This window comes from Homo sapiens, chromosome 5 (genome assembly GCF_000001405.40).
Source record: "Homo sapiens chromosome 5, GRCh38.p14 Primary Assembly".
In the NCBI taxonomy this organism is placed as follows: Eukaryota; Metazoa; Chordata; class Mammalia; order Primates; family Hominidae; genus Homo; species Homo sapiens.
Window position 1 is genome coordinate 56980877 of NC_000005.10, and position 12867 is coordinate 56993743.

The 12867-nt window shown below is 41.2% G+C and overlaps 1 annotated feature.

The window, feature by feature from the left end:
• Positions 8346–8515: an enhancer, noted in NCBI's record as "experimental_86269 CRE fragment used in MPRA reporter constructs". NCBI's record gives its function as "activates a minimal promoter by MPRAs in K562 erythroleukemia cells, with activity observed for both the introgressed and non-introgressed 5:56285134 variant alleles {active_cell/tissue: K562}" and the evidence as "EXISTENCE:reporter gene assay evidence [ECO:0000049][PMID:34662402]".

Genomic DNA, 12867 nt, shown 5'->3' on the forward strand with positions numbered 1-12867 from the left:
CCAGAGTGATCACAGTACCAGGCATGCTGTAATCCTTGGGCTCTGGAACATTCTCTTCCCATATGCTGCTCCTGGAGTAACCTCATAGGTGGTATCACAGAGCTACTATTAGAGAGGTAAAGGAAAATTTGGAAAACTCTCTGGGTTGAGATTCTAAATATTTATAGTATTCTTAGCAACTGATCTTTAGTCAACTTCTTTTGCTCCTTGGTACCACCTGGCACCTGTCACCCACCCACAGAGGTCTTTCCAGGCAGCCAGCCTTGACCTCCTATGCTGGTGAAGTCTCCTTGAACAAGCCCATCAGGGACATCAAAGTGGGAGGGAGGACGGGAGGAAAAGAATATGGGAGGGAAGGAATCAGCTCTTATAGAGGTCTCAAATGGAAGGACACAAATGTAGTTTAGATATTTGTCCCCACCCAAATCTCATGTTGAGTTGTAATCCCCAATGCTGGAAGTCCGGCCTGGTGAAAGGTGTTTGCATCATGGAGGTGGATCCCCCATGGCTTGGTGCTGTCTTCACGATGGTGAGTTCTTGGGAGATACGGTCATTTAAAAGTGTGTGGAACTTCCCCCGCAACACACTCTCTCTTTCTTGCTCCTGCTTGTGCCATGCCAAGTGCCTGCTCCTGCTTCACCTTTTGCCATGAATAAAAGTTCCCTGACAGCTCCCCAGAAGCAGATGCTGTTATACTTCCTGTACAGCCTTCAGAACCAGGAGCCAATTAAACCTCTTTTCTTATAAATCATCCAGTCTCAGATATTTCTTTATAGTAATGCAAGAACGGCGTAACACAGACACTGAAAATGAAGTGGCATAGAGAGAAAATACAGGAGGCTGTCCAAGGCATCTTGTGTTAGGATTGAGTCACTGTTGTGTATAAATCTTTTCAGCACCAGTCTACAAAGGAATGAATAAGTAACGAATGGCTGAATGAACAAATCAGTGAATGATCAAAGAATCAATGGACTGAAAGATAAATCAACAATGAGGATAGTAAAATGACAATGTACCATCATCAGTTCACAGGTATAATGAGTGTGTGCATGTGTGTGTATGAAAGAGGAAGAGCCAAAGGATTGATGGGTGTAATAGGTATACAGAGTATTACTCTGGCTCTTACAGAGGAATTGGTGACAAACTAAGGAGGAGTCACAATCCCCAAAGTGCCTCAGAAGCCCTCATCCCTAGAATGGTAACAGACTTGTATAGCAGCTGCACCCTCACAGCTGACAGCTGTCATGTTTAACCCTCCCCTTCCCCCCTCCAACCACAGGGTATGGAGTAAGAAGGTCCCAAGTCAAAGGATGTTTCACTCAACCAGCCCTTTCTCTGAGAAGTCTCAATGTTTACTCTCTGACACTACGAAAGAGTCACTCACAGAGTATATAACTAATGCATTAATGCAGATGAAATCCTGTGCCTCTGAAAGACTAGGGACCCAGAATTGGCTAAAATAATACTTTATATGCACTGTACAGTGGAGTTGCAAAACTGTGGCTATACAGAATTGGGTGACCTCCAGCTTGATTTCATCTAGCCAATTGATATGGTTTGGCTCTGTGTCTCCACCCAGATCTCACCTTGAATTGTAATAATCCCCACGTGTCAAGGGTGGGACCAGGTGGAGGTAATTGGATCATGGGGGTGGTTTCCCCCATGCTGTTCTCGTGAGAATGAGTGACTCTTACAAGACTTGATGGTTTTATAAGCGTCTGGCATTTCCCCTGCTTGCACTCATTCTCTCTCCTCTCGCCCTGTGAAGAGATGCCTTCCACCACGATTGTAAGTTTCCTGAGGGCTCCCCAGCCATGTAGAACTGGGTGTCAATTAAACCTCTTTTCTTTATAAATTACCCAGTCTTGGGTAGTTCTTCATAGCAGCATGAGAAGGGACTAATACACCAATCTATGGGAGGAAAATGTTTGCCAATGGCCTGTTGTGACTGACCTCTTCTGGGTGAATATCAAATTCTCAAGTGATGGAGGGAAGCAAATACCAGGATCACATAGGGAGATTTGTAGAATCTCACATGATCCAGGCATTCCAGTGCTAGAGTGGTTGGCGTAAAATTATAAATTAATCAGTAAAAATAATTGTTTTCTACAAAGGGCAAAACAGCAATTTTAGGAAATTGGTCACACAATCCGATAGAAAGGAAAAGAAAAAACATGCTAAAATCACACTGTTAGGGGGTATGGGCCATGAATCTGTCCCATTGGGTTTCTGCCATCCCCATTCTGAAAAGCCCTACAGCCTACTAAGCCTTGTCTCACAACCCCAAGCTTACAAAGTGTACTAGATGTGCATGGTTTATCATAGAGGTATCATCTCCTTAGCAGGAGAAAAGGAACCAACACTGAGTGCCAGCTCAGTGCCAGGTGCTTCAAAGATTCTGAGAAAGATGTTCATCAATCAGGAAGGATTGAGATGAGATTCTGTTTTGAAACATACAATCCCAACGATGAAGACCCTCAGGACTATTAGAACATCTTTTCACGCAGTAACAGCAAAGTGTAATGAACACGGCTACCAATTTTAGGGGAAAAGCTGCCTGTTACTATTGTCAAGATCCAATAAATAATTCAGCATGGAAATAGTGACATCATTTTCATTGGGCAAAGTCCAAAATAAAAACCTTGCAGGTAAGTTCTTTGTAATACATCACACTCCGAAGATATATAAATAAATTGATTTGGCTTTCAGCTGTTAGAAAGTAGATTGCTGTTTTAAATGAACAAACAAATTATATATCTTTCCTACCAAGAGTAATACTTTCTATGTGGCCATGAAGAGACCTCCTAGAGAAGACATTGATGAGGCATAATCATCTTCTCACACTGTGCTTTGGTAGTTGCATAACTGGAAGGGAAGTCTGATGTGGAGGGAGTGCAACTTTATCAAACAAATGACCCAGTCATTTTGTTACCCTTCTGATACTAAAAGCACTTTATGAAACTGGGCCCCATGAAGTACTTAAATGACCTGTCTTCAGACTCTATCCCTCCATCCAAATGGCTTAAACTAAAATCATTACCATATAAACTATTTTGAAAATATTTATGTGTAATCCTGATAAAAAGTGTTTAGAGCAGCATGTTCTTAGCCACAGTATTTCCAAAAATATCTCTTGCAGATGCCAATAAATCAGTGCATAACCTGTATTATCTGTGCCTTCAACCATCTGCACTGTTCTTCATCTTTGAAGCCAGCTGTTGAAAGGCATTAATCACAAGGTTATGCCCCATCCAAACAGGATTGTTTGACAATGGCATACACAGTCATCCATGAGTTGGGCTGGTCTAATCACAATACAACACACATTGCTGATAGAAGATAAGGGTCTTTGCAACTGTGTGTGGCCTGCACAGTTGCACAATGTCAGTGAGGCCAAAAGGTGCTACCACGAGAGTAGAGAGTTGTTTTCAAAATGAAAAAATGTAAACTACTGCCTTGTTTGCCCTAAGATAGCTGATATATGAAATCTACCAGTCTGCTAAGATTTTAAAACCTCCAAATAGCAAAACTTGCAGTATACGTTCTATGAGTTTATCATAAATAAATAAAATCATACCTGATCCTTCATATTCTTATCTAACTCTGGTGTTAGTTGAAATAATCAAATTTTTAGGAGGTTTTTTTTTAACCAAATAATTACTCGCACAAACCTGAAAATAAAAGGCCTCTTTACCAGAATGGTTTCTACAGAATGTTAAATGCAACACTTAGGTTAATCTGTATCTCAGTGTGTAACCACATCCTGCCCTGCAGACCTCAGACATGGAAAAGTGTGGAAGAACAGCAATGGGCCTGTCTGCCCCAGGATGGGCTTACATCTCACTCTCTAAGGAATTTCAGTTGTAACAAACTTTGGAAGAAACTTTTATTTCAAGAGATTGTGATTCAAGTTATGAGGCCTGATGTTTTCTTCTTCAATTGCCTGTCATATAATGACAAATGTTGGCAAATCCTTCCTCAGGCTCACTTACAATCTATGAAATTGAAAGATGGCTGTGATTTTGGTCAAGGCCAATGGAACCAGGCAACCCTACACTAGTTATAAGAATAAAATGTCAGGCTGGGCGTGGTGGCTCACGCCTGTAATCCCAGCACTTTGGGAGGCCAAGGCGGGCGGATCACAAGGTCAAGAGATTGAGACCATCCTGGCCAACATGGTGAAACCCTGTCTCTGCTAAAAATACAAAAATAAGCTGGGCATGGTGGCGCATGCCTGTAGTCCCAGCTACTTGGCAAGCTGAGTCAGGAGAATCGCTTGAACCTGGGAGGTGGAGGTTGCAATCAGCCGAGATCACACCATTGCACTCCAGCCTGGTGACAGACTGAGAGTCCATCTCAAAAAAAAAAAAAAAAAAAAAAAAAAGAATAAAATGTCAAATTAGCAATTCCACTTCAACAAATTTATCTTAAGAGAATAAAGATGGGAGCAAAGATTAATATACAGAAAAATTCACAGAAGTATTTATTTTGTGGGAAAAAAATTGAGAAAAATCTTAATATTCAATAACTGCATTAGACAGATGGTGGTACCTCCCTTTTAAATGATAATACAGGTGAAAAAAAAATGTTTACATTGAAAGTTAAATAAGGGCCAGGCACAGTGGCTCTGTTTGCAATCCCAGTAGTTTGGAAGGCTGAGGTGGGAGGATCGCTTGAAGCCAGGAGTTTGAGATTAGCCTGGGTAAAACAGCAAAACCACATCTCTACAAAAAATAAAAATAAAAAAATTAGTCAGGCATGATGGCGTGTACCTGTAGTCCTAGCTACTCAGAAGGCTGAGGCAGGAGGATCACTTGAGTCCAGGAGTTCAAGGATGACTCCACTGCACTCCAGCCCGGGCAACAGAGGAAGACCCTATCTAAAAATAAATAAATAAATACATGTTAAGTAATGGAAAAAGTTCTAAAATACCAAAAGCAGATGAGCTAATTTTAATGGGGAAAATGTATCTAGATATGCATAGTCCAAAAGAATATATCATATAATTATGGCTTACTTTAATTTTTTTCCTTGTTTTTAATTTTTCTAGAATAAATATGTAAAGACTTACTTGGATAACTTTATTTTTAAAAGCATATTTTATTTTTTAAAAATTAAAATGTCAGAGACCAAAAATACTACTTGCCCAATGTCTGCAGTGGATATTGGTAGTTCCTCCTTCTTACTTGAAAAGTCAGGACAAGCTAACTGATGAAATAGAAAAACCCTACATCTCAGTGACTAATCCCAATTAGAGGTTGGTTTTCACAAATGCAAGGGTCTATTTTAGCTGTTCCTAGTCAGGCATTCTCTTGGGCAGCTCTTCTCTGAGCAGTGACCCAGGATCCAAGCCTCTTACAATCTAGTGGCTTCGCTGAATCTAGTGCATTAAGTCAGCAGGTGAGGGAAGAGGATTTAGAGGATTGCATTGGAGGTTTCCTCAGACAAGCCTGGAAATAACTCACAATACTTCTGCCTGATTCCATTGGCTGAAACTCAGTCCTATGACCATATCTAACTGACAGGAAGACTGATAAATATTTAGTTATGTGTCTACGAGGAAAAAGGAAATAACATGGTAAACAACTAGCCAACTGTAGTCATACTAGTGTAACCACACTTCCACATGGTGACTCTACTTAGTTCAGGAGAGTAGGGGTAAGCATCCTTCTGAGATCGAGAAAATGAGGAAATGAAACTTAATCTAACTGAAACCAATGCAAATACATGGAATTTATCTAATCCCCACCTACTGGAGCAGTGAACAGGAGAGAATTAAATGGACATTGCAAAAGAAGGCATTCCCAACCATGCCCTATATTGCAGGACTCACTTTTCTCAATCATCGACTCATGATGACCTTGCCAGAATGGAATAGCTTCATGCTATCCATGACTGCCCCCAACAGACTGGGTGAATGCACATGGCTGACAGCACCCAGGCTGAACTGGGGTGACTCAGATCTCATCTTCAGAAACATGATTATATCAACAGGTCAAAGCTGTGGGACAATCAAACATTCATGTAGTCAAATATATTAACCTGAAATCTAATAGTGTGAGGCACCCTGACTGAAGAAACAGTGCATTAACAGAAAGAGATGGCCTTCAGAGAGTTTAGTAAAAAAAAAAAAAAAAAAAAAAAGCTAAGAGTAAGAATGTATCAGTCTATTCATCACCAGTCAGGGAGAGACATTAAATCATAATTTTAGCTAATATTCATTGAACTTGATGGCTCTCAGGCTTCTAAACATGTCACATGCATTGTATCACTTAATTTCATAACAACTTAATGAAATAGGTTGTATGCAAATAGATGAGGTTCATCTTGACAGATGAGGAAACTGACGGTCAGGGAGTGTAACTGAACCGCTCAAGTTTTAGTTTGTAAGTGGCAGAGTCAGAAGAGAATGGACAGTGTCGGATACCAGAACCTAAGAGTATGTGGACTCATTGCAACATGTGCAACATGAAAATTGTGATCACCTGAGAAGTGGCTGGGTAGAGTGATTCATCAGGTTCTACCCTGGCCTGGGTAAAATATTTTCCTTATCTTAAACTTGACTGGTATCCTCTGGGGGAGCTTATAAAAAATACAGTTCCCAAGCTCCATCCCAGGCCCTAGTAAATGAAAATCTGAGTGAGGCCCAAGGGTCCCTCTTCGTAACAAGCCCCTGTGGTGATATTGATCTGCAGTGATGTTTGGGAATTAATACTCCAGACATTTCTTCCATTAGCTCTGGTAACACACACACTTGGAAGACTCTACTCAAAAAATTTAGTCGTGTTGACAATGGAATGGAGTCCCCTAGATGATGTACATAAAATTCCACTCAGAGGAAAATGTGCGCTCTTTTGTGAATGAATAGATTAGCTTTTAGTTTTGTATAGTAGTCTTTTGGAAACTTGATCAGCATAAGTAGATCCTCCCAAATGTGTTCCTCTCATTTTGTGGTTTGGGTAGGGTGACCAATCCTCCTTGTTTGCCCAGGGTTTTCCTAGTTTTTCCACTAGAAGTTCCACATTCTAAGAGATTCCTCTGATCATACTGAGATGGTTGGTAGGGTTATCAACTCATCCCAGCTTGTCTGAAACTGTTCTATGTTTTAAAACTGAAGTTCCCATATCCTGGCAATCCTCTGAGACCCAGGCAAACTGGGTCAGTTCATCATCCTAATTGGTCACCAGTCACTGCCTCCCTATGAGACTCTTATCTATGTAATCTGCTGGCCTCAGAAAAATTCTCTATTTTATCTTTTACTAAAATATATTGTCCCAAGACTCAGTGATGTCCAGAGTTTTTGGGAAGTAAGAATTGTGTTTCTAATGAGGCCTTGTAAATATTAAAACATACAGCTTACAGGCCATTGTGGAAATTTATTTAGAGAAAAGAAATTGTGAGGATTTTCTCAAATATGGAATGCTCTGAAATTTCCTTTCATCCTTTCCTAAATAGGGCTGAAAAAGTAAACCAGAGGTGTGTTACTATGTAGTTCCGAATATTGATAGGAAGGGATCCAAAGGCCACACCTTTGCAAATGTGATCATAGAAATTCCAGGGTCCCTGGAGCCTGCAAAAAAGACTTTGGCATCACCAAGCAATCCCAGTCGAAGAAGGTCCCCATGCCTCCCTCTTTGGCCTGATACCTCCCTGACTTGCAGCTCAGTCTTTATTCCCCATCTCTCAGACTGATTACATTTCAAGCGAGTGACTCAAGTGAGTTTGCCTAATAGATTTCCATTTTGTTTCTGAGACCTTTTCTTCATGCAAGAATTGGTTAGTGTTGGGTCAGTCGTTTATATATTAACACGTCCGAATATTCATAAACAGGGGCTGCTTTAGTGTTCTCAAACTTTGCTTCATGAATAATTCATATGTTTGACAGCAACTATGTTACTCAACTTATTTAAAGACTACAATCAATATAGCATGCTGCTCCAAAACATAGCAACCAGTCCTTTAACTGTAGTGTGCTTTAAAATTTTTTTCCCAGTTATTTCACCATCACATTGAACCACAAATATATGGTAATTACTAATAATTCTACCTCCATTTTGCATGTCACCACAATCAACATATTGATTGCTTTTTGATTATAATAAATGGTTGGTTAAATTGAGGGTTTGCGATTAAGAATGTTAAACTCCGATATTTATTTAATTCAGCTGCACCAATTTAGGCTCTGCATGGTAATTTCATAAAAAGCTATTGAGAATCAGAGTAGTTATTTGAATCAAGGCCTATAAAGAGAGCCCAGTTTCCCCAGGAGAATCTGGCATTTAAGTAAATTACACCAACCAGGGGTTTGGTTTTGCCTCTTGGAGCATACAAAAAACTCCAGCATTATGCTCATTTTGAAATGTAAATAGAGTGGAGAAAAACTTAGGAAATTCTTCTGTTAACTTTCTATTTTAGGATTTAAAGAAATAAGTCTCAGAGAAAGACTAAATAAAGCCTATTTACATGGAACTTTGCCCTACATATAAGCAAGGGTCTAAACTGGCTGGGTAAAGACACAAATGGGAATTATGGGGGTGAAGGAGGCAGAAGAGTCACTTTGGTAAATAATTTGAGAGATTATCTAGATTTTGGCTTACAGCCGGGAAACCCATTTCCAAGGAATGAGAAATCTACCATATTTAAAGTCCCTCGGGAGGAGACAATCTTGTTTTTTGTGTAAACCCAGTTTTGTGATAAACAAAGATTAGACCAAACTAGAATGATCGCTGTTAGGAAATCCTCACTAACATCACCCAGGCAGCTCTTTCATCTCATTTCCTCTTATTCTCTCTGAATGGCCATCTCTCAACACCTTTCTCCTTTATTCATTTAAGAAATAGAGTGTACATTCCACTCCATTAACCAGGGACATGATGAAGTTATACAGAAGCACCTTTTGTATTTTCTTGACTAAGTCATAAATGTTTCATGTGGTAACGTTTCTGAAATCATGATGCATGATAAACATACTGTTTCCCTTCTCACCCCCTGAAAGTTGTTCTGAGTTGGGTGACCTCACAATTCACATCATCTTAGAATGGTGAAACTATGATACTGTCATTGCTCAAGGGGTCGTTACACTAGAATTCTTTTAGACATATAATCTACCTGAGCTTGGACTTCTGACAGAAACCCAAGGCCCTCCTATTCATGAAGGCATTGTGGGGATACTTCTTCCAGAAACCCTGCTATGAGTGCATCCTGGTTTACTTCCTGTCAACATTGAACACCAGTCAAGATGAAACTGCTTTGCCATCTCTTCTCTCCCAGACTCTCTTCTCTACTATGTTGTCCTTCCTTTCTCCTGCCGCAACCCACTGCCTTTCCTTTTTCTCCCAAATCTGCCCATGGTGCTCCCGTGAAACCCTGTTTCCCAGATACTAACTCTGCTGAATTTTCAACATCACAAAATATTTCCTGCATCTCCTCACCTAAAGAGAAACCCGGACATTCTGAAGGAAATTGCTTGTTCTGCAGCCCTCTGACCACTTGGTTCTTGCTCTCCTGTACTCCATGTGTCCTCCTCAAGTAAGAGATTAGCTTGAAAGAATCTTCCCTCAACAATTCTTCCCCGCTTGACTACATCCTTTTTTTCCTTTAAGACCCATACCATAATCTGGCTTTGCTGCCCTTCTTTCCTCCTTCCTCTCACTTGTGGACCTCCTCATTATGGCTCATCATTCCCTGTAAACCCTGACTCCTTGTCCACCATCTCCGTCATTCCCCAGATCTATTATCATTGATAGTTTCTTCGGTGTCTGTATGAAAGACCCATCCAGCACTTCTGCACCTTATTTCTTTACCTATTCAACTCCAAATGCCATCACATTCACCTACTCCAGTTGCCATACCTGAGACCTCACCACCACCTGAAATGATTCCACCTCTAAAATCTTCAAACATTCTGCTAACGATCAAAATCTCCTATCCTTCTATTTCCCTTACTCTAAAATTTCCATTGTCTGTTCTTGACTTTCTTTTTTCTTCATCCTCTCTGTTTCCTTTTCTATCGAATCTAGACCTCATAGCCCATTACTTCTACCACTTTCTCTCCAGTTTCCTTCACTGCCTTCCCCTATGGTCCTTGCATCACACCTGCCCAGCAACACTCCAAGCTTGAAGAACCGATCCACCTGCCTTCTGTGCCCCATACATAGTCTAATGGGAAAAAAAAAAACCTATGCAAACACATGTAGTCAGGCCACTCTGAACTCATGGACTCCAACCAGGTCTTCAGTGGCTGCCTGACAATCCTTCTGTTGTCTGGGTAGCTCACTTCTCACTCTCTACAGAAATTATTTTAACTTCTCTCTCCTTTTTTTTTACCTATATCCCACCACTGCTCACTGTCCTCTCACTTGAGACTTAACCTCAAGGAAAATAGAAGCCATCATATGGAAACTCGCTTAACTTTCTGGAACCCAATGCACAAGTTTACTTGTGTCTGTAGCTCTTCTTCCTTCTTTTCCGCATTGCCAAGATGAGAAAGGAGTCCTGCCTCTTAGTCTATTCTTTCTATCTCATAGTGATCTCATCTGGTTCCACCATCTCTCAACATTGCTCTTCACTCTTGCCCTTATACTACCTCCTTCCTGGAGACATTTAAAAAGGCCCTAGCATCTCCCATCTTATGAAAAGAAATGTATAGAATTCATTAAAGAAAAACTCTCAAATCCAAATCCACCCTATCTTATTTTCTCCCTTTCTTAGACAAGACCCTGCAAAGGCATGTCTGCCCTCAGTATCTCCACTTCCTCATCTACACTGTATTCCTTGCCTACTTCAATCTGTGTTTCTAATTCCACTGAAGACACTGTCACTGAGACCTCCAGCCCATACTGTTAAATCTTTTGAGTCCTTATTTGACCACTGTGACTATATGAACCATATCAGCCTCTTTGAAGTTCTTTTTTTTTGAGATGGAGTCTCACTCTGTCACCCAGGCTGGAGTGCAGGGGGCCAATCTAGGCTCACTGCAACCTCCGCCTCCTGGGTTCAAGTGATTCTCCTGCCTCAGCCTCCTGAGTAGCTGGGACTATAGGCACACACCACCACGCCTGGCTAATTTTTTTTTTTTTGGTATTTTTAATAGAGATGGGGTTTCATCATGTTGACCTGGCTGGTCTAGAACTCCTGACCTTGGGTGATCCGCCCACCTCAGCCTCCCAAAGTGCTAGGATTACAGGCATGAGCCACCGCGCCCGGCCTGAAGCTCCCTTTCCAGGACTTCTGTGAGGTCATGTTCTCTTGCGTTCCATCCTACTTCTTTGGCTGCTTCATCTCCATTTTTTCTAGGAACCTCTTCTGCTGCCTATCTTGGGAATGTAGGTGATCCTCAGGGTTCTGTCTGGCCTTCTCTTCTCTACTGAATGATCTCTACCATGTCTATGCCTTCAATTATCAGCCACATTGTGTCAGTTCTGGCTTCCCAAGAAGCATCCATCAAGACGCACAAGAGATTTATTGGGGAAAGCACCCATGAAGGATAAAGGTGAGGGAGCAGGAGTAGGTTGGGAAAACATTCAGATCATGATGTTATTCTGACAGAGGTGAAAGAAGAGGGGGAACAAAGGAGGTCTGGGTAAAAAGCGTCTCAGATTTCCAGGTAGTTCTAAGAAAGTTCCAGTCAGGCCCATCTGGAATCCTGGAGCCCAAGTTGCCTGTTAAGTCGTCCTGTGCCAGCCAGGAAGTGTTGTCTTGGTGTTAACGTGGTGCTGGATCCAAAGGGAGACTGGCTGTGTTTCTCAAGGCAGGTTCTTTTGAAGGTGTGAGCAGTACACTTTCATGGCTACCACACATATCAAAAAATTTTAACCTTGACAGGGCAACAGAATCCCAATGGAGCTCTTTAAAAACCTACGTTTCTAGATCCTGCCACCTGAAAACTTTGAGATTCAGTTGGTTTGGGATGAAATCAGACCTCTTCATTTGCAAAAGGAAAAAAAAGCCCCAGAGGCAATTCTGATTCCTGACCAAGTGTGGTAACAATGATCTTCATGCTGATAACTGAAATTGTTCTATTCAGTCTAGGTCTCCATCCTGAGGTCCAGACCCATATAACAAACTGCCCACTGGCATTTCCATTTGAATGTCCCGGAATTAAAGTAAATGCAGTCTGTTCCAAGCTTGTGTCTCCTCCTGCACTCTGTTTCAGTGAACGTCAATTTCACCTTTCTGTGTAGAAACCAAAAACCACGGTGTTGTAACTGACTCTTTTTTCCCCCGCTTATTCCTCATGGCCAGTTCATCACTAAGTCCTGTTGGTTGATTCTGCCTTCTTGATATTTTCTGAATCTCTCCCCTTAACCCAGTGCCACTATGTTAGTTCAAGTTATTCTTGCCTCCATTTTTTCTCCTTTAGTTCGTTCTTCACACCATAGCCAGACTTCCAAACCACAAGTCCAATAATATCCCTACATTAGCTCCTCATGGTTCTCAAGATAAAAGTCCAAAATTCTTTATATATTACACAAGGCTTTACACATTTGGAACCCTGTTTATCTGCCCTGTCTCATCTCTTGCCATCATCCTACCTCCTGCGGAGCTACTGGCAATTCTGGAAGATCTCCAGGCCTTTGCACCAGCTGTATCCTCTCTCTGGAATATATTGCTCCACTTCCTTTCCTTGCTAATTCCCAGTCTCTCAAGGATCCAACTGAATGAGTTTCCTTTGCAAGCCTTTCTTGAGGTCAATGTCTCTTTTCACCTCCACCAAGACTGGGTTAGATGCTCTGGCACTACCATAGCGTCCTATCATTGCAGGTTTCACCATGATTAATGTGATCCTTGAAGCCATGGATATGCCTTCTTCACTGTAATATCCCCAGCACTTGTGTAAATACTTGTATATAAATGAATGAACCAATA